This window comes from Homo sapiens, chromosome 13 (genome assembly GCF_000001405.40).
Source record: "Homo sapiens chromosome 13, GRCh38.p14 Primary Assembly".
NCBI classification, from domain to species: domain Eukaryota; kingdom Metazoa; phylum Chordata; class Mammalia; order Primates; family Hominidae; genus Homo; species Homo sapiens.
The window spans coordinates 60,328,034-60,347,017 of record NC_000013.11 but is presented as its reverse complement, the minus strand read 5'-3'; the positions used below and the strand labels follow the sequence as shown (position 1 = coordinate 60,347,017).

General features: G+C 38.3%; 1 long non-coding RNA gene across 1 annotated transcript in view, besides 1 other annotated feature; it reads right to left on the bottom strand.

Moving 5' to 3' along the window:
- LOC105370228 (uncharacterized) overlaps nt 1-18,593 on the bottom strand; it is a 53,024-nt gene extending 34,431 nt beyond the window's left edge. The window contains exons 1-2 of the long non-coding RNA XR_942002.3: nt 18,450-18,593; nt 5,514-5,703 (exon numbers count right to left, since the gene is read on the bottom strand). This is a non-coding gene — a long non-coding RNA (uncharacterized LOC105370228). The remainder of the gene's footprint in view (nt 1-5,513; nt 5,704-18,449) is intronic.
- Nucleotides 17,250-17,319: a silencer, noted in NCBI's record as "silent region_5389". NCBI's record gives its function as "represses an Ori minimal core promoter by ATAC-STARR-seq in GM12878 lymphoblastoid cells {active_cell/tissue: GM12878}" and the evidence as "EXISTENCE:reporter gene assay evidence [ECO:0000049][PMID:35858748]".
- Nucleotides 18,594-18,984: the final 391 nt, after the last annotated feature.

The following is an 18,984-nucleotide window of genomic DNA, read 5'->3' as shown; positions in this document are numbered from 1 at the left end:
AGTTATGAATTAGAAGCAATTACCAATTTGGAATTGGAAACAGAGTAGATAACATAAAACATGTTTATAAAAATGTGTCTATAGTTATTTTTACTTTAGAAATTGAAGACACAATTAAATTATAGAATTAGAAAACTAGAAGAACTCCACAGGTTACCAACCTCTCCTCATTTTGCTAGAGAAGGTAACAAGAAGTTAATTATGTCCCTGAGACCACACAACTGGTGGCAGGGATGGAACTAATACACAAAGCTCCTGATTTCTAAATTAACATTCTTTCTACGACCTCAGTGTTCCAGTAGTAAATAAAATTAATTTGAAGTATTAAGCTTCATTGTATTTTAATAAATCAATTTTCTAAATGAAATTAAGATATCAATATTTCAACCCGTCAAACCATTGACTTTGTGTAGATATATTTTCACGTTTATAGTATTTTGCATATTTAATATTCAAGATGTTCTTTCCATACACCTAATTTTCAATCCCTACAATTGCTCAAGGTTGAGGGAAGGATAAGATATAGACTTTCTATATTTGCATCTTTTATTCCAAATGAGAGTTCAAAAAATTAGTTTCAGTGAGGCTTTAATATTAAAATATGACTTGAATTGTAGAACGCATTAATAGGAAATATATATTCATTTTCAGATAAGTAAAATGCTTAATCCATTATTCCTAAGCTGATTTTTTTGTTGTCTTATAAGATTAGGTTGCTGATTCCATTTTATTAGAAAAGTGCTTTACAAAACTCATTGAACAATACTTCATACAAATAATCTTTCTTGAGAATTTGAAATAAATCAGTGACTCTCTAACAATTAAAAATAGAAGGAGCCTTCATATATCACTGTATCAGATAAGTGGCTTCCAGCTACAAGTAACAGAAACCCTAAATTAAACTGACTCAACAACAAGGAAGTGTATTAACTTGCATAACAGAAAGTTTGGTTTGGTAGATTTGGCAGCTCAACCATGTCATCAAGGACTTTGGTTACTTTAATCTCTGTATTGGAGTCTAAAGTGCCAGCTTCATCCTTTATGATGCATTATCCCCATTTTACAGATGAGGAAACTTATGGTCTTAAAATGGTACCCTCATTATCACTTCATGGTTGTAAAATGGCTGCCAATTACAGTCAGTGCTATTATTTACATCCAATGGGAGAGAAAGTCACTGGCTTCCTGTGGCTGTTTAGTAAGAGAAAGAAAGGACTTTCTCAGAAGTCTTTAATACACTTCTTGCCAGAATTGGGCCTCAGGTTCATTCTTGAACCAAACATTGGCAAGGGAGCATAGGATTGCTTTTTACTCTTTCAGATTCACTGTTGAGTCAGAGTCCCTTCTCCAAAATATGCGATGGCGCTACTCAGTGAGGAGGAGAGAATTTCTGAGTTCAGCAGAGGGGACCACAACTTCCTCCCTGAAACATTTTAACCTCTTGACTTCCATAACATCACATTCTTAGCTCTTGGTTTGCCTTCTACCTCTTTAGCCACAACTTCTCAGATTCTTTTGTAAGCTACTCTACCTCTTCCCTCCCTCTGAATGTCAAAATTACGGATGCCTCAATCCTAGGTCCTCTTCTTTTTCTGTCTCTAACCCTCTGCCTAGGTTATCTTACCCATTTTTATGGCTTTAAATATCATACTAAGCTGATCGTCTCCCACCCAAAACTATCTCCTAAGCTCCAGATTCATATATCCAGCCTTATTCCACATAATATTCAGGGACTCGGGTTTCTCTCATTTTGTGTTTTCTCCTTCTCTTAGAATAGTGGCTCTCAAACTCCAGCATGCATCAGAAGCACTTGGGGGGCTTGTTAAAACACACATTGCTAGGCCCTGTGTTAGTCCGTTCTTCTACTGCTATAAAGAAATACCTGAGGCTGGGTAATTAATTAAAAAAAAGAGAGAGAGAGATTTAATTGTCTCACAGTTCTGCAGGCTGAGCAGGAAGCATGGTGCTGGCGCCTGCTCAGTTTCTGGTGGGGCTCCAAGGAACTTTACTCATGGTGGAAGGCACAGTGGGAGAGGGCACTTTACACGGTGAGAGAGGAAGCAAGAGAGAGGGAGCAAGAGACAGAAAGGGGAGATCCCAGACCTTTTTAAACAACCAGATCTTCCATGAGCTGAGAACTCACTTCAAACCAAGGGGATGGTGTTAAGCCATTCATGAGGGATCTGCCCCATGATCCAGTACCTCAAATTAGGTCCCACCTCCAACATTCGAGGTTATGTTTCAACATGAGATTTGGAGGGGACAAACATACAAACGATATCAGCCCCATCCTCAGAGTTTCTGATTCAGTAGGTTTGGGATGGGGCTCAAGAGTCTGCCTTTCTAGCTAGTTTTTGGGTGATGTTACTACTGCTGATCTCAGACAACATTTTAAGAACAAGTATTTTAGAGTCTTCTCCACATCTAAACACCCAAAGCTTAAATTGCCACAAAGAGGGTGCAGTTAAACATTCAAAGAAGCTGCTACAAAGAGGATGCAGCCAGTTGGAGTGGGGGAAGAGAGGATAAGGAGGTGCACCCATTGTATGCATTATTGGCCCAAAAGTATTCCACATCACTCCCACTGACATGCCACTGCTCCTCCTAAATGAGGGGAGCCTGGGAAATATATTGCAGTTGTACCTCCATTCACCTGGCTGCATTCTAGTGTTACAAAAGAAGAAGACAATGGGTTTTTGTGAAGAGCTAGGTCTCCACCCCTCTCTAATCTTATACTACCAACAAATCAGCAGTCACACTTGCTTTCTTTTATTTTAACTGAGGGTCTCTATACATGCTTCTATACACTCCTCTTTGCTCTGCTCATGGTTGACTCGTTCTGTTTCTTTGGTTTCAGTTTAAATGTCACCTTCACAGAGAAGTCTTTCCAGAAATACCCTGTCCTAAGTAGACATCAGTCTACTTCCCAGCTCCTTGTTTATTTCCTTTTTATTACTCATCACAATGTATAATTTTATTTTTTAAATGTAATATCTATCACCCTTGCTAGGTGATTTTGTTGTTGTTGTTAGCTTCATCAGGACAAGAAACTGTGCCCCTTTTACTCACGTGTACATTACTCATCTAACAAGACCATTTCTGTTGTTGGCTCAAAATTCATTTCCCTTTCTTTCTTACTAACATAATCTCAATTTAGTTCAAGTATCAGAAGATTCATCTCAGGCAATATGGGACTAGTGTTCCAGGGGCAAGCGTGTAATCCAACTGTGGACAGTGGAAAGCAATGAGAAGTCTGGAAAATGGAGGAGAGCTTTTCTTCCCTGATAGTAAAGAGATGGTGAAACAGAACTCTGCCCTGCATTTCTGTTTCTTGCTTCTGAATGCAGTTATGTGAGGGCATGATTTCTGGAGTTGCAGCATCCATACTGCAACTATTAAGTCAAGAGAATTGTAGAGATATGAATCCTAAGACCTAACATCATTAAGCCACTGCACCCGCCTAGCAACCTCCTACCAATTGTTAAGGGAGATAATAAAACACACTCTATGTTTAAGCAAGTTTCTGTTGAATAGTCGTATAGAGCCAAAGTATTGTGACTTAGCATATTACTTGGTCCATACAAGCAGTATATGTTCAACTTATTTAGGAATTTGTTGTTGAATGAATAGAAGAATACATAGCTTGCTGGCCACAGTGGCTCTCACCTGTAATCACAGCACTTTTGGAGACCGAGGCAGGAAGATCATTTGAGGTCAGGAGTTCGAGACCAGCCTGGCCAACATGGCGAACCCTCACTCTCCCGTTTCTACTAAAAATACAAAAACAATTAGTGGGATATGGTGGCACATGCCTGTAATCTCAGCTACTTGGGAGGCTGAGGCAGGAGAATCGCTTGAACCCGGGAGACAGAGGTTGCAGTGAGTTGAGATCAGGCCACTGCACTCCAGCCTGGGCAACAGAGTGAGACTCCATCTTGAAAAAAACAAAAACAGAAACAAAAATTTAAAAAAAGCCAGAAGAAGAATAAATAGCTATTCAGATACTTTAAAAAAACAAAACATAATTCTGTTTCTTTGGGTTACATCTGAGGGGAAGACAAGTGAGCACAGGGTACATATTATACAGACTGGCTATCTTTATTAGAAAATCATACAAAATACTCTTTCATTCTTTTAAACATAATAAAGACTTACTACTTTGAAAAGTAAGTAAATAAAGAAGCATATAGCACACTATTTGAAAATACAGGATTTGAGTTTTAATTTAAGGCAAGTCACTATCTGTCATTGACTTCAGTTTACTCATCTTTAAAAAGGAAATATTTATGCCTTTAAGAGTTAGTGTGATGAATAAGTGAGATAATACACGTAAAGTGCTCAATGTAAATATACCCATCTATGGTAAACAATAAATAGTATTATAATTGTTATTATTATTAAGCATAGTTGGGACAAATGGGACATAAAGGTGAAAAATACATAGCCCATTCCATAACTAAAATACCAAAGAACATTTAAGTAATACAATCAACATGAGAAACGTGAAGGAAGGGAAGGTCTTTCTGTCGTGGAAGATCAAACAATGTTTCAGGAAAAGAGAAGACATTTAATCTGGACCTTTAAGGAAATGTTCAATTTAATACACAGAGATGAGCAAGAAGCATGTGTATTGTGGTGGCTGGAAGAGGGAGAAAAGATAAATGTGTTACAGACAATAATGTATGGGGAAAGGAGGACAGGTGTCTTAGTCTATTCCTGCTGCTATAACAAAACACTGCAGACTGGGTAATTTATAAATAATAGAAATTGATTCCTCATAGTTCTGGAGGTGGAAAAGTCCAAGATCAAGGCGCTGGCAGGTTCAGTGTCTGGTGAGGGCCCGATCTCTGCTTCCAAGGTGGCACCTTGAATCCTGCTTTCTCTGATGGGGAGCAACACTGCGTCCTCACATTGCAGAGAGTGGGCTAAAAGGGTTGGGGTGCTCTCTCAAACTTCTTTTATAAGTTCACCAACCCCATTCATGGGGTGCTACCCTCATGATTTTGTCATCCCCGAAAGGCCACTGCTTAATACCACCACATTGGCAGTTAAGTTTCAACATATGAATTTGGAGGAACACATTCAGACCATAACAGCAGCAAAGTACAAATCATGGTTATGTAATAGCTGATAGAATGGTTTGGCACCAGTAGAGCTATACAGAGGAGGTCCATGGTGATGAGACTGGGGAAGTGGAAGGGCTACCTCATGGAGGAGTCTTAATAACTGCTGAGCAAGGTGAGAGCACTTTGAACAGGCGATGTGGTGACATGAAAGGGTTTTGAAGCAGAGCAAGAAAGTGACATGATGAAAGCATAGCAGACACTGTTAACTAGCTCCCCAGTAGCTGTTCTTTCTTTCGGCCTGCCTAGCTTTAATGGATGGAGACCACTAGCTCTGGCAATATAACATAAGTCTGAGCAATAAGCTGTAAAATAAATCCACTGAATGCATCTGGGGGAAAAAAAACATTTCTCAAAGAGAAAGACATACCTTTTAAGAGAAAGACATACCTTTTTAAAGGTAGAACAAGAAAATCATCTTGCTACCGCATTCTCCAAATCCATCTTGTTCCCCTTGTGAATTCCGTTGTGTAAGGATGTGGTACTTATGAGCTTCAGCAGCAATCTTAGCTCCATAAGGAAGGCTCTCATGTTGACCACAACCTTCTAACTGATGCGGAGATGGATATTTTAGAAAGATCTGAAAGGAACCAATGGGGATGGATTGTGATGAAACTAAAGGCAGGAGATAGAAAAACAACTATTGAACACATCTTGTGTGCAATCGTTAAATTAAGAAACGTGTATAGCACTTACTATGCACCAGACACAATGAAGCACTTTGCTCATCTATTCCTCATAAAACTTCTATGAGGTTGGAATACTATGCAGCCATAAAAAAGGATGAGTTCGTGTCCTTTGTAGGGACATGGATGAAGCTGGAAACCATCATTCTGAGCAAACTATTGCAAGGACAGAAAACCAAATACTGCATGTTCTCACTCATAGGTGGGAATTGAACAATAAGATCACCTGGACACAGGGTGGGGAACATCACACACCGGGGCCTGTCGTGGAGTGGGGGGATGGGGGATGGATAGCATTAAAAGAAATACCTAATGTAAATGACGAGTTAAGGGGTGCAGCAAACCGACACGGCACATGTATACATATGTAACAAACCTGCACATTGTACACATGTACCCTAGAACTTAAAGTATAATAAAAAATAATAAATAATAAATAAAAATAAAAAATAAATTAAGGTAAAAAAAAAACTTCTATGAGGAAAGTACTATCATTATCCCCATTTTTCAAATGAGTCATAGACAGATGATACAATTTGCCCAAAGACACAGAGCTAGTAGGTAGCCGAACATTAAACCAAGCAGTCTGGCTTTAGAGTCTGTGCTCCTAACCACTAGTGTGCATTTATTTTACAAACATGTACTATCTTGCTTCTACATAACAATTCTATGAGGAAAAATACCATGGCTATTGCCATTTTACAGATGAGAAAACTGAAGCAGAGAAGTTAAGTAATTTACAGTGACACATGTAACAAGAGATGGAGCAGAAAGTCAAGCCCAGTTCTACCCAACTCCAAAGTTCAAGCATGATACCAAATTCCTAGTTAGAAAACTGTTTTAGGCATGCTTCTTGGGGGAAAAAATATATTTCAAAGAGAAAGATATACTTTTTAAAGGTAGAAAGGAGAAAATCATCTTGCTACCTCCTTTCAGAGACCTGAATCAAGGCAGTGGCTTCAGAAATGTAAGGGAAGAAATCTATGTGAGACAGATTGTGAACAAAGGTTAGATAAGAATTATGGGTAGGTTATATACAAGGTAAAGAGATGAAAGATGATTCTGTCTTTTCAAAGCTAAGTTAAAACACAGGGATACTTTATTTTAAAGGAAGCCTATAAAATGAATATTTTAAGTGTATATTTTAAGTGAATACTTCAAAGTCATTGTCAGCATATCCAGTAAGCTAGGGTCAACTCAAAAAGTGGGTATTATGATTAACTATTACTTGTTTAAGTGGCAATTTCTTTGTGCATCTAAAAATGTAGCCCTGTAAGAGTGGGTAGGGGTGTCTTCTATATAATGCTTTTGCAGTTTAAATCCTTGCGTCAATTGTCTAAAGTTCCCTGATAACTCACCTCCCCTAGAAGTAGGGTATGATTAAATTGCTTGTCCCTCCCACCCAGGCTTCTCCCACTGTCACGCACAATCTTCCTCAGTGTAGGACACAAGTAATAGTTTAAGAACTTGACATATTGTACTGCTGTGGAAGGATTCTTATATATATTCCCAGGGTTTTGGTGGGCTATTTCCTGCCCTTTCTTCCCAGGGTCCCTTTGCCCTCTAGCTCCAATCTTTAATCACTCTGCTCGTTCCTCATTCCACACCATACTTTTTATCTCTGAGCCAAGGCAGATTTTCTTTGTTTGTTTTGAGACAGAGCCTCACTCTGGTACCCAGGCTGGAGTGAAGTGGCACCATCTCCTCTCACTGTAGCCTCCACCTCCCCAGCTCAGGTGATCCTTTGGCCTCACCCTTCTGTGTAGCTGGGACTAGAAGCATGTGCCACCAAGCCCAGCTAGTTTTTTTCTTTGTATTTTTTTTCTTTTGTAGAGACAGGGTTTGCCATGTTGCCCAGGCTGCTCTCAAACTCCTGAGCTCAAGCGATCTGCCCACCTCAGCCTCCCAAAGTGCTTGGATTACAGACATGAGCCACTGTGCCCAGCCCAGATGATTTTATTTAGTTTCTATAGTCACTAAAAGTTTAGCTGTAGCTCAAGGCATTGGTTTTGGGTTGAAATCAATTTCTTCATCTCCACCTGTAGCTCAATTTGGTAGCTTCTAGGAATTCAACTTAATTCATTCAATAAATTTCCATTAAGAGTTGACTAAGTGCCAGGCGCCATGCTAGAAGCTTAAGGTCTATGAAAGTGGTGATTCTCAATCTGTAACATGCATAGGAAGCATCAGGGTATCTTGTTAAAAATGCACTTGTGAGTGCTTAGTTCTGGGATAGGGCTTGAGCGCCTGCATTTCTAACAGGCTCCCAGGTGAGGCCCATGCTGCTAGTCCTAGGACCACATTTTGAATAGCAATAGAGGACAATGGGAATATAAACAATGAAGTTCAACAAAATAGTTACAGATGCTAGGATAAATATGTTAGAAACTGAGAATGGAAGGTATGGGGGTCCCATATCTCTCTGGTCTGTGCTAATTCCTCAGTAACCCCCTCTAACCTCCCCTCCGCTGCTCTTGATTCGTTTAAGTATTTTTGGTCCTATTCTGAACCTCTGCCATCAATTCTCACTCTAAAAATTTACTAAGCACCTACTAACAACTACAGTTGATCCTTGAACAACATAGGAGTTTGGGGAGCTGATACCCTGCCAGTACCCGTGTATTCGAAAATCTGAATATCATTTTTGACTTTCCCTAAACTTAACTGCTAATAGCCTACTGTTAACCAGAAGCCTTACCAATAACATAAACAGCCAATGAACACATATTTTGTAAGTCATATGTATTACATACTTTATTCTTATAACAAAGTACACTAGAGGAAAGAAAATGTATTAAGAAAATCATAAGGAAGAGAAAATGTATTTACTACTCAATTAAGTGGAAGTGGATCATCAAAAGGCACTTTATCCTCATCATCTTCATGTTAAGTAAGCTGAGGAGGAGGAGGAAGAGGATGGGTTGGTCTTGCTGTGGGAGGGAGGGAGATAGAAGTGGTGGAGGAGGTAAAAGGGAAGGCAGAACAGGCAGGCATACTCTTTGTAACTTTTATTGAAAAATTTTCACATATAAATGGATCTGTGCAGCTCAAAGCCATGTTATTCAAGGGTCATGTGTAACATTCTTCTTTCCACGTCTACGAAAGCATCTCTTTGCTCTGCTATTTCCCTCCTTTGTTTCACTTAAACCTTTATAGAATTCCTTCATCCTGAAATATCTCATCCTTGGTCATCAGTCACTCTTCAGAAAATTCCATTTTCTAGGCATACAATGCTGAATTTTATCTCATCTTTATAATCACTAGCAGTGTCTAAACATATACATGTAAACCTATTCATTTATATGTTGGTTATTTGTACCTAATAATAATAACAGCTCACATTAGGGGAAGCTTAAATTATGCCAAGCACTGCTATCTCATAATAGCCTATGGGATCAATACTAATACCCCATTTTGCAGACTGAATATAACTGAGACATAGAGCTTAAGGTCACATTGCCACTAAGTGCCAATTTGAATATAAACAGGTCTTCAAAGAATGGTGCCCCTTAAAATGAATTGCAATACAATCTATTCGCCGTCCTGGTATGGTTGGGAATGTGTGTGTTAAGCATTCCTGTGGCATGGGAAACCTCCATGATATGGAAAGAACTGGACATTTTCTCCTCTGCCTATGAGTGAAAGGGTATCAGGGCAGATCCAGTATCTAAGAATCATCTTTCAAACCTGCATAAAATGCATGCCAAGGTAACTTATTTCCCTAAGAGTCACTTAAACTCTTAATTCAGCTCTGCCTTATTTAGATGAGAGACTCACTTTTATTTGACACTTTATGTTCTGATCAAGCCTCTCAGTCAAGTGTCTCAAAATGCAAACACAAATTTTGGTTTTATAAAATCATCTGGGTTTAGCAGTAAATCTGATCTTGATAGAGAATTGTATCATATTGGGTTTCTTTTATGCTGTGACTATAATTGAATTGCCTTTTCACCAAAAGGATTATTTTGAACTCATAGAAAACTTCTTAAAAAAATGACAATGAAAGCCCAAAGGACATTCAATATGAAACCAAATTATTATGGCATTAAAGGATCTAAGTTAAATCCATGAAGGCAAGAAAATTCAAAGCAAGGTTTTAGGAGTAAAATTCCTTTAGTTTCATGCCTCACCGCATGTACATGACCACTTCTGTTGATATATAGCAAGGAGGAGAGGCAGTTAAATTATTTTGCTGATGACAACTCCTATGGGCCATTACATAATCAAGAAACAAAATATTGGTAATAGGAGTGGGATCATAAGGGAATGATCAACTTTTTTTTTCAAATGAAACCTTTCAAATGAACCTACTCTTCTCCCATCTTTTCTTTGTCCTTAGTATTTTCTTCAGCATACTTCCTGGAAGCTATCTTTTTGGCCAACAGAATGATATCACAAAAAATGAGATTCTGTTTCAAATGCTATTGCCATCTCTTTACCTCACTTAATCACCTCCCACCCCCAACCATCACTATTTCCCTGATTCTGTCTCATCTTCATTTTCTATCAGCCCCTCCTAACAAAAACAATCTTTCTTTGTTCTTTTCATTTGGCCCTCTATAAAACCTCAAATACATGGGCAGCATGGTGACTCACACCTGTAATCCCAGCACTTTGGGAGGCCGAGGCAGGCAGATCACTTGAGGTCAGGAGTTCGAGACCAGCCTGGCCAACATAGTGAAACCCCATCTTTACGAAAAATATAAAACTTAGCTGGGTGTGGTGGTGTGTGCCTGTAGTCCCAGCTACTTGGGAGGCTGAGGGATGAGAAAGGTTTCAACCCAGGAGGTAGAGGTTGCAGTGAGTCGAGATCGTGCCACTGCAGTCCAGCCTGGGTGACAGAGTGAGATCCTGTCTCAAAAACAAACAAACAAACAAAAAACACCTCAAATACAAATTCATTCCCTATATTAGTGCCTTCACCAGATCTCTGTACTATCCTGATGAAAATGTATAACAATTTCCAACATACATACGTGTGGGGTGTTTCAATAAGAAAAGCAGTCAAGGACAGTGCTCCTGAGTCAGTAGGCAAGTAGCCACTTTTGTCTGTTTAATCAGATCATTCCAAGGGCCTTGAATTTCCTTGTAATGTGCTTCACCTCTCCTCTCCATTGTGGTTAGCAACATCTTTGGTTCAATCATATACACAGCTTTGCAGTTTAGAGCATCAGACATAATGTTTTTCTCTTCTTTTTCCCTTTGGAATAAAAATGTTCTGAAATTTGGTAGTTCCCCTTGCACAATTTCAACTCAATATGTTACCCTTGCCTTTCTGGCTATTATCCAGGCTACAGAAATATTTAGGCAGCTGGGAAACCCATCTAAATTCTATTTTTTAACATTAAATCTAGCTAACAGAAATATGCTGATTAATCTTTATTATGCACAACTTTTAGCTCTATATCCCTTTCCCCTGTTATATTTCAACTTACACAAATAAATTAGTGTAATGCAGTTCTGCATCTTTTTCACAAGATGGCACTATACGTTTCTGTATTTATTATCAAGCAAGGAAACAATGGAATTCTAAAAATTTATAGTTTAAATTACATAAATTGTAGTTGAATATTAAAGGGAAAATAATAGCACAAAAACTATATGATGATCTAGTTTTCTTTAAGATATTTTAACTCCCTTTTAAAAAGTAATCAGTGAAAATTAGAATGACCTCAAGGAAATTTGTGTTTTTATTTCTTCCTGGTTTTTAATATCTATTAAGTCAGGGAAACCTTTCCTCCTTTAGAATAATATGATATGGTATTTTCACTGGTGCAGTGATGCCAGACCTCTACTTGGCTCTACTTTCTTGATTTAATTTTTCTAATAATGTAATAAATACTTACTTGGAGAACAACTATTCCAATATTATTAATATATAAAAAAATCAGATTTTTTTCAGAAATATGGGGGAAATCATAGAACTATGAATTCAAATTGGATTCTTAATGACATCTATGAGCATGGCCCTATAAAGAGTAGATTTTTTTTTCTTTTTTTTAATTTAAATAAAGATGGGGTCTCACTATGTTCCCCAGGCTGGTCTTGAACTCCTGCCCTCAAGTGATCCTCCTGCCTCGACCTCCCAGAGTGCTAGGATTACGAGCATGAGCCACCATGCCCAGCCAAGAGTAGACATTTTTTAAAAGAAGATATAAAGAATGAAAGTAACAGGAAAAGTTAAAGAAGTTAAGGGAATGCATAATTATTTAATTCTTCTATGTCTAGGCCCTGAGATATGCATTTCAAGTAACTATATGGAATAATAATAATAGTTAACACTCACTGAGCTCTTACTCTATGCTAAACGCTATGCTGGGTTCTTTGCAGAGGTGAGCTCACTTAATTCTAAAGCCCTATGGCGAGGTTACTATTATTGGCCACATTTCACATAGGAAGAACTGATCCTTAGCTAAATTATCCATCCATTCATTTATTCCTTCAACAAGTAATTGTTGAGTCCCTACAATGTGGCTTGAACATCTGAGTGTGGCACAGTTGAAATTTAAACCCCGAATCTGCTGAAACCAAAGCCCCAAACACTTCTGGTTAATTATAGAACTATAAAGAATAAATTTCTCAGATAAGCCTAACAGGAAATTCCACAGTGAAAAAGAGAAACAACTGCTATAAAATGAATAAGCAAATTGACACACTATCAAAAACAGTATTCTTCTCTTGTTTTGTGTATTTTCCTTAAGATTGATTTAAAGCTCCTTTATACAAGGTCCAATTCAGCCAAAGTGTGCTATAAACCTTAATTATATAACAATTCAACAACTATTTCTTGAGCATCTAATCTGTACCAGAGTGAAAATTACTTTTGTGGTAAAGACAAGAAGACCTGGAATGACATCCAGTCCAAATGGTGGACTAAGCAGAAGGGGAAATCCTTTTCACTCCTCCAGAAAAGCAAAAAATCAAAAAACATAGACATCTAGATAGGACATTTAAAATATTTTAATAGCATGTATCTAAACTAAACACTAAAAAAAAAAAAAAAAATCCAGGTTGCATAAATGAAGAAGTCTCCAAGTAAAGAGGAATTAAAGCTTCATTGCCTATGAAGTACCAGGATACCATAATTGAGGCTTTAATACTTTGTAGAGATAAGACTCAAAGTGCAGAGCCTGCACACAGCAAGAACTAGATTCATTGCCTAAAGTGAGAAGCCAAGGAAGAATTTTCCTGCCATGAGGCCAGTAGACTTTAAACAGAGCCCAGAAACAGCCCATCTGGTTGGGGATATGGAGGAGTCTACATGGAAAAGTCAAATCTATGCTCAGGTGAAAGTATCTAAATTTACATTATTCACATTATGCAGAAATCTCAAACTGGAAAACATGATAGTTCAGAACCTCAATAGAGGCTATGGGAAAATTTCCTAAGGGAAACCTCTAGGGCTCATATGATACTGCTAGGAAAGATAACTTACAGAAGGTGAATGCATAAAAAGAAATTATAATATATAAGAGAGTTTAGTGGTAAACAAGAAACCCAACAAAGTGGAGATTTCACAACTATGACAATACAGCAATCTAAAGGGGACTTTAATATAAACATATTTAAGATGTTCAAAGATATAGGGTTTTTGATGAGTAAAACTTTAAAGCTGAAGGAATTTGGACCATTTAAGAACAATAGAAAGGAAATAACAGTCACTTAAAAATAAACCTTTGATAGACTTGTTAAATAACGGTTTAGATACAGCAGAAGAAAAAATTAGTGAATTGAAGATAAATCTTTGAAAATAAACCAGAACACAGCACAGAGAAATAATAAGATAGAAAATGTGAAAGAGAAGTTAAGAGAAATAGAAAATAGAATGAAAATATTGGGATAAGAAGATAAATGGCTAAGAGAATTCCAGAATGAAATGAAGACATGAGACCTCAGACTAAAGAAGCATACTTTATTCTGAGCTAGATAAATGAAACAAATCCATTCTTAGACATATAGTGAAATTGTGGGATAAAGTAATCAAACTTACAAGTCATGAGAAAATCTTAGAAATAACCAGAGAAAAAACAGATTAACTTTTAAAGTGGACTATCAGCATGAGCACTGAGTTTTCACTGGAAAGAGATGTGTTTTTTTTAAGGGCTAAGAGTAAGTATAGTAAGCTAAATTTTATTCTAAAGTGAAGGCAAATTGAAGATACTTCAGATTTACTGATACCATCTAAAAGAAGCATAAGTTGGTCGACCTTTCCCTCTCACACAGCAGTTTTCTTTTGAACTGAAATATTGCCCAAAGTGGAGGGGAAAACTGACAAGTACAGTAAACTCCACTTCTAGGTAAGGGAATCTGTAATATTTCAAGTACTGGGAAGGACTTCCTCTTTTACCACCTGCCCTGCTAAAAGAGATTTTTAGTTGTCTTCTTAAGAAAATTCCTGTTACCTAAAAGAAAAAATAGCTTTGATAAACACCAACTTTTGTTTCAGTGAGAAAGATGCTGAAGGAACCATAGGATTTTGACTTCAAGATGTCCAGAATAAAGGCTTTCCTTTAATAATTTCATGTACAGCTATAAACCCAAAATATTGCTTTCTCTCCAGCTGGTATACCCATCCTTGGGGCAGAAGATTAGGGACATGCAACTTTTGGAATTTTAGATTTGTGGCAAGCCAATTCTTCCTTGTGTAGGTCTGTCCTGTGCATTGCAAGTTTAGCATCTCTGGTCTCTACCCACTTATTGCCAATAAATCTCCCACCCACACTATTTTAAAAACTAAAAATTTCCCCATATTTTTGGAAGACCGGTTCTGTGTCACCGCAGAACTAATTGCTTTTCTTTTCCAGTAACCTCCAGAAATACCAATTAGCTCAGTGCTTATCTAAAGATAGCACTTACCGCCTTCATCAGCCATCTTATCACCCAGCCATTTAAACAAACTTGGCTGCAACCAGAACAGCAGTTTTGCTCTGATTGGTGCTAATTCCCAATCTCTGTCCAATTATAGCCAATGCAATCTACAAAATACAATGTTCCCTAATGAATCAATCATATTAAAGTCAGCTCAAGTTATGAAAACTCATGTTGTAGCAGAGAAGCCTGCACTCCTGAGACCTCTGCACACTTTTTGTTCCCCTGTACATTGGCAAATCTTTCAACTTGTTCTCAGTTCTGAGCTCTGAGTACAAACCCTTTCCACCTCTTACCCACCCACCTAGAAATCGAACCTCAGATTCATATTGTGTAGAATACATTAGGTCAGAAGTCTAAAGAAATCAGTATTTAAGCCCATTTGAAAGTCAGTGAGAAATTTGAGAAGAGAAGCATTACTTCCCTCCTGGAGACAGAGCACTCTCAAAATTATAAATAAATAAGAGGCAGGAAAGAGTGAAATGTTTCCTGCTGAACTCTCTCCTTCCACCCCTCCTCCTCAGGCATAATGGGACCAGGCAAGTAAGGAAACCAGGGAGAACCTTAGAAACTGTGTGTTCTCTTGTTTTCTCTTTTGGGTGTGGTGAAAATCTTCAAATAGGAAATCAGTTCTATTCTTTTATAACACAACGTTTTCTGATAAAGAAAAATATTCTCTCCTATTAGAAGATATAATGAGAAAAATGTGATCAGTAAAGACAGTTAGTAACAAAGTGATGAGGTAAGAAACGGGCTTACTTTAGTGGACAGGGCTTTTTGGAGGCAGCAGACAGGGCCTTGTTGAGATTGAGCTGCCCTGTAGCATCACAGGCAGAAAACGCAGAGGAGATCCTCTGTAAATGCAGAGAGGAAATGCAGCAAGGTGTCAGACTGCACCTGAGGCTTAGGAGGCAGCCTGCAGAGGACTGACAATGGACAAATCAGCAGCCCAGAGAAGGAGCAGCCCGTTGGTGCTGTGCTCCACAGATAAGATGGGTGTCCAGGGGAAAATATGCAGGAGAGCAAAACTGCAGAAAAAAAGAAAATTATGCTCATATCAGGACATTCATACACAGGACAGCAAGGACTAAATCCAAAGATTTATATCTTCCTTCCTTCCTTCCCTCCCTCCTTTCCTTTCTATTTTTTTTTTTTTTTTTGAGACGGAGTCTTGCTCTGTCGCCCAGGCTGGAGTGCAGTGGTGCGATCTTGGCTCACTGCAACCTCAGACTCCCAGGTTCAAGCGATTCCCCTGTCTCAGCCTCCCAAGTGGTTGGGATTACAGGCACGTGCCACCAGGCCCGGCTAATTTTTGTATTTTTAGTAGAGATGGGGTTTCACCATGTTGGCCAGGCTGGTCTTGAACTCCTGACCTCAAGTGATCCGCCTGCCTCAGCCTCCCAAAGTGCTGGGATTACAGGCGTGAGCCACTGCGCCTGGCCAAAGATTTATATATTCATCCATCCATTCCTTCATTCAAGGAGTCTTTAGGAAGCTATAATTCCATGCCTGGCAATGTGCAAGGTGCTGCCCCAAAGTGAGCATAATAAAATCCCCTTTGGAGTTTGGCGAGGAAGACTCACAAATAAACAGACACAAAACAATGTGATCAAGTGATACAGAAGAATACAGGATGCTGGGGAAAGAATGGAGTTTTCCTGGGGTTATAGAGAAGGCTGGAACATACTTCACAGACTGTTTCTTTCAAGGGCGAATAGAAAAGCCAAGATGTAAATGTATAGGTCCAGATGCTGACGTGTAGGAACTGCAATTCATTTACAATGGTCAGAACCTCAGTTGTCTATGGGAGAAGGTGGGGAGAAGGCTAGAGAATAGGCCCATGAAAGGCCTGCCATGTAAGAAGTCTTGGCTTCATGTTGTAAGAAATTCAGAGAAAGAGCTTCTAAACTTGGAAAATCCTGTGGTCTAAATGTTTCCATACCCTGAGAATTCATTTGTTGAAACCTAATCCCCAATGCAACAAAATTAAAATGTGCAGCCTGTAGGAGGTGATTTTTCAAGAGGGATTCACCCTCATGAGTGGGATTAGTGCCCTTAAAAAAGAGGCCTAAGAGAGCTCGTTTCCCCCTTCTACCATGTGAGGACACATAGAAGGCACCACCTCTGAGGAATGGGTACTCACGAGACACCAAATCAGCTGGCACCTTGATCTTGAACTTCTCATTCTCCAGAACTGTGAGCAATACATTTTTATTGTTTATAAATTACCCAGTCTAAGGTATTTTGTTATAGCAGCCCAAATAGACTAAGACAGAAAACATGGCCAACATTTATTAATGATGCCCAACACTCATTTCCAACTTCCTTCTTCCTTGCTCATCTCTCCCTCTCTAGAAGCTGGAAAAAAACAAAACAAAACAAAAAACAACAAAACAAAACAAAACCCATATATTTACTTTCCTGGTCTCCCTTGTAGCTTGCATGACCATGGACCCAGTTCTGGCCAACGTGACCTGAGAGGTCTCATGGGCAGGCTTCTAGGAAAGGTTTCTCTCTCCCTGATAAACAGGAACAGGCCTGTGGGAGGAGCTCTCTCACCACTCTGGCCTCACTCTTGCTTCTTGTCTTTAAATTTTGAGGCCCGAGAATGTGGTGCCTGGTGCTGCAGGGATGTCCAAGATAATCACAAAGACATCAAGCAAGTACCCTAAAATCTGGAGCTGCTGATCTAATCCTCAAATCATATGCCTCCAGGCTTTTGTTACATAAACAGTAAGAATTCTTATGGCTTAGGTCAATATCAGCTGGAGTTTTCTATTACATGCTGCCCAAAACATTTCTAAGAGAGTTAATAATTTGTAAGTAGTTACTAAGAATTACTACAATGTGGTATTCATAAATTAAATTAAACTTATTTTGGAATTTACTAGGGACTCTAAATTAACATTCTACTGGCTTTTAAACAAATTTGCAAACTGCTCACTATTTATACATTGCAGATACTTGAAATTCTTTCTGCTTTTTGAAAGTACCCTTTATCATCAGTGTATCAACAGTATTATGTTGGGTTAGTCATAATTTTCTTCACTACTAGTCTTACTCTTTAATTATATAGGACTGTTCACTTCATCATTATTAATCTAGTTTATTTTGCATTCTTTGGTTAAACTTATAGTGTAGGCTTATTTTCATTTGATCTATAAATTTCCAAATAATAGACTTTACTTCATGTATACATTGTGGTTCCAAATAGAGCTCAACAATGTTGCTACTGATAAAGGAGTAACTCTCAACAAAAAGTTATTTGTCCACGTTTCGTTGGTGTTAGGCTACCAGCGGATTTGTGATTTTTTTTTTTTTAACTTACAATGCTATCACGGTGTCATATTATTACTGGATTATTTTTAAGATTATCTATGAAATCATGCTTATATGTTACGAACAATTCATGTGTATTATGAAATGCAAATGTTTCCTAGTTTCCTCTTTTCCCCTTTCAGGGAAGCATTCTCCAATCTATAAGGGTTGCCAGGTTTGGTCTTACATTTCTTTGGAATACTCCTCTAAGACTGCCAAACAGCACTGCTAATCACCTCGTGGAACTGTGACCCACGGTCCACTCAAGAAGCTGATGCCGTCTTCCCTGAGGGCACCATGTTCCTTTGGTCTCTTTAAACAAGCACATCACACACAGCTAAATGTAGATTGCTCTAGTAGAGCACTAGCAGAGTAAAGGATAAGTTTCTAGCTAACATAAATTTTTTATTTTGTTATCAAAAGGAAAGACACCTTTTGATAACAAAATACCTACCTTCACAAAGAGGTCAGTCTTCCTTCATAGCTGCCTTTCCTGCACACAGAGGAAGTCAGGTCTCCTTACTCAGTTCTCTCCCTGTGGAACTCTCTTCTTCTGGGAGCATTACACTTCTTTACACAGTAAGAGACCCCATTTTCTGGGTTTTTTTTTCCATCATACAATACCCCAAATATAAAACTTCTGTCAGGTGGTAGGGGTCAGGTTCTATTTTCATGTGTAAAAATTGATATAGATTTTCTATTCTGAGTTTCTGTTCCTGTGGTTTCTTCATCTGTAACAAGATAATAATAGTAGCTATCTCAGAGTGAATAGGAAGATTAAGTAATAGCTCATGTCTTCTAACAGTGACAGGCACATAGAAATAGCTACAGAGGAATTTGTTTTAAAAAAATCATGTGATGTTCCTTTGACTAATGTATCTAACTAAGATAGGTATATCTCTCCACGACAACTACCAATTTTTTCGGATATGGAATGGTCAAGTCCTGTGCTGGGGCTGTTAGTCTATTTAAACAAACGAATAAATAAG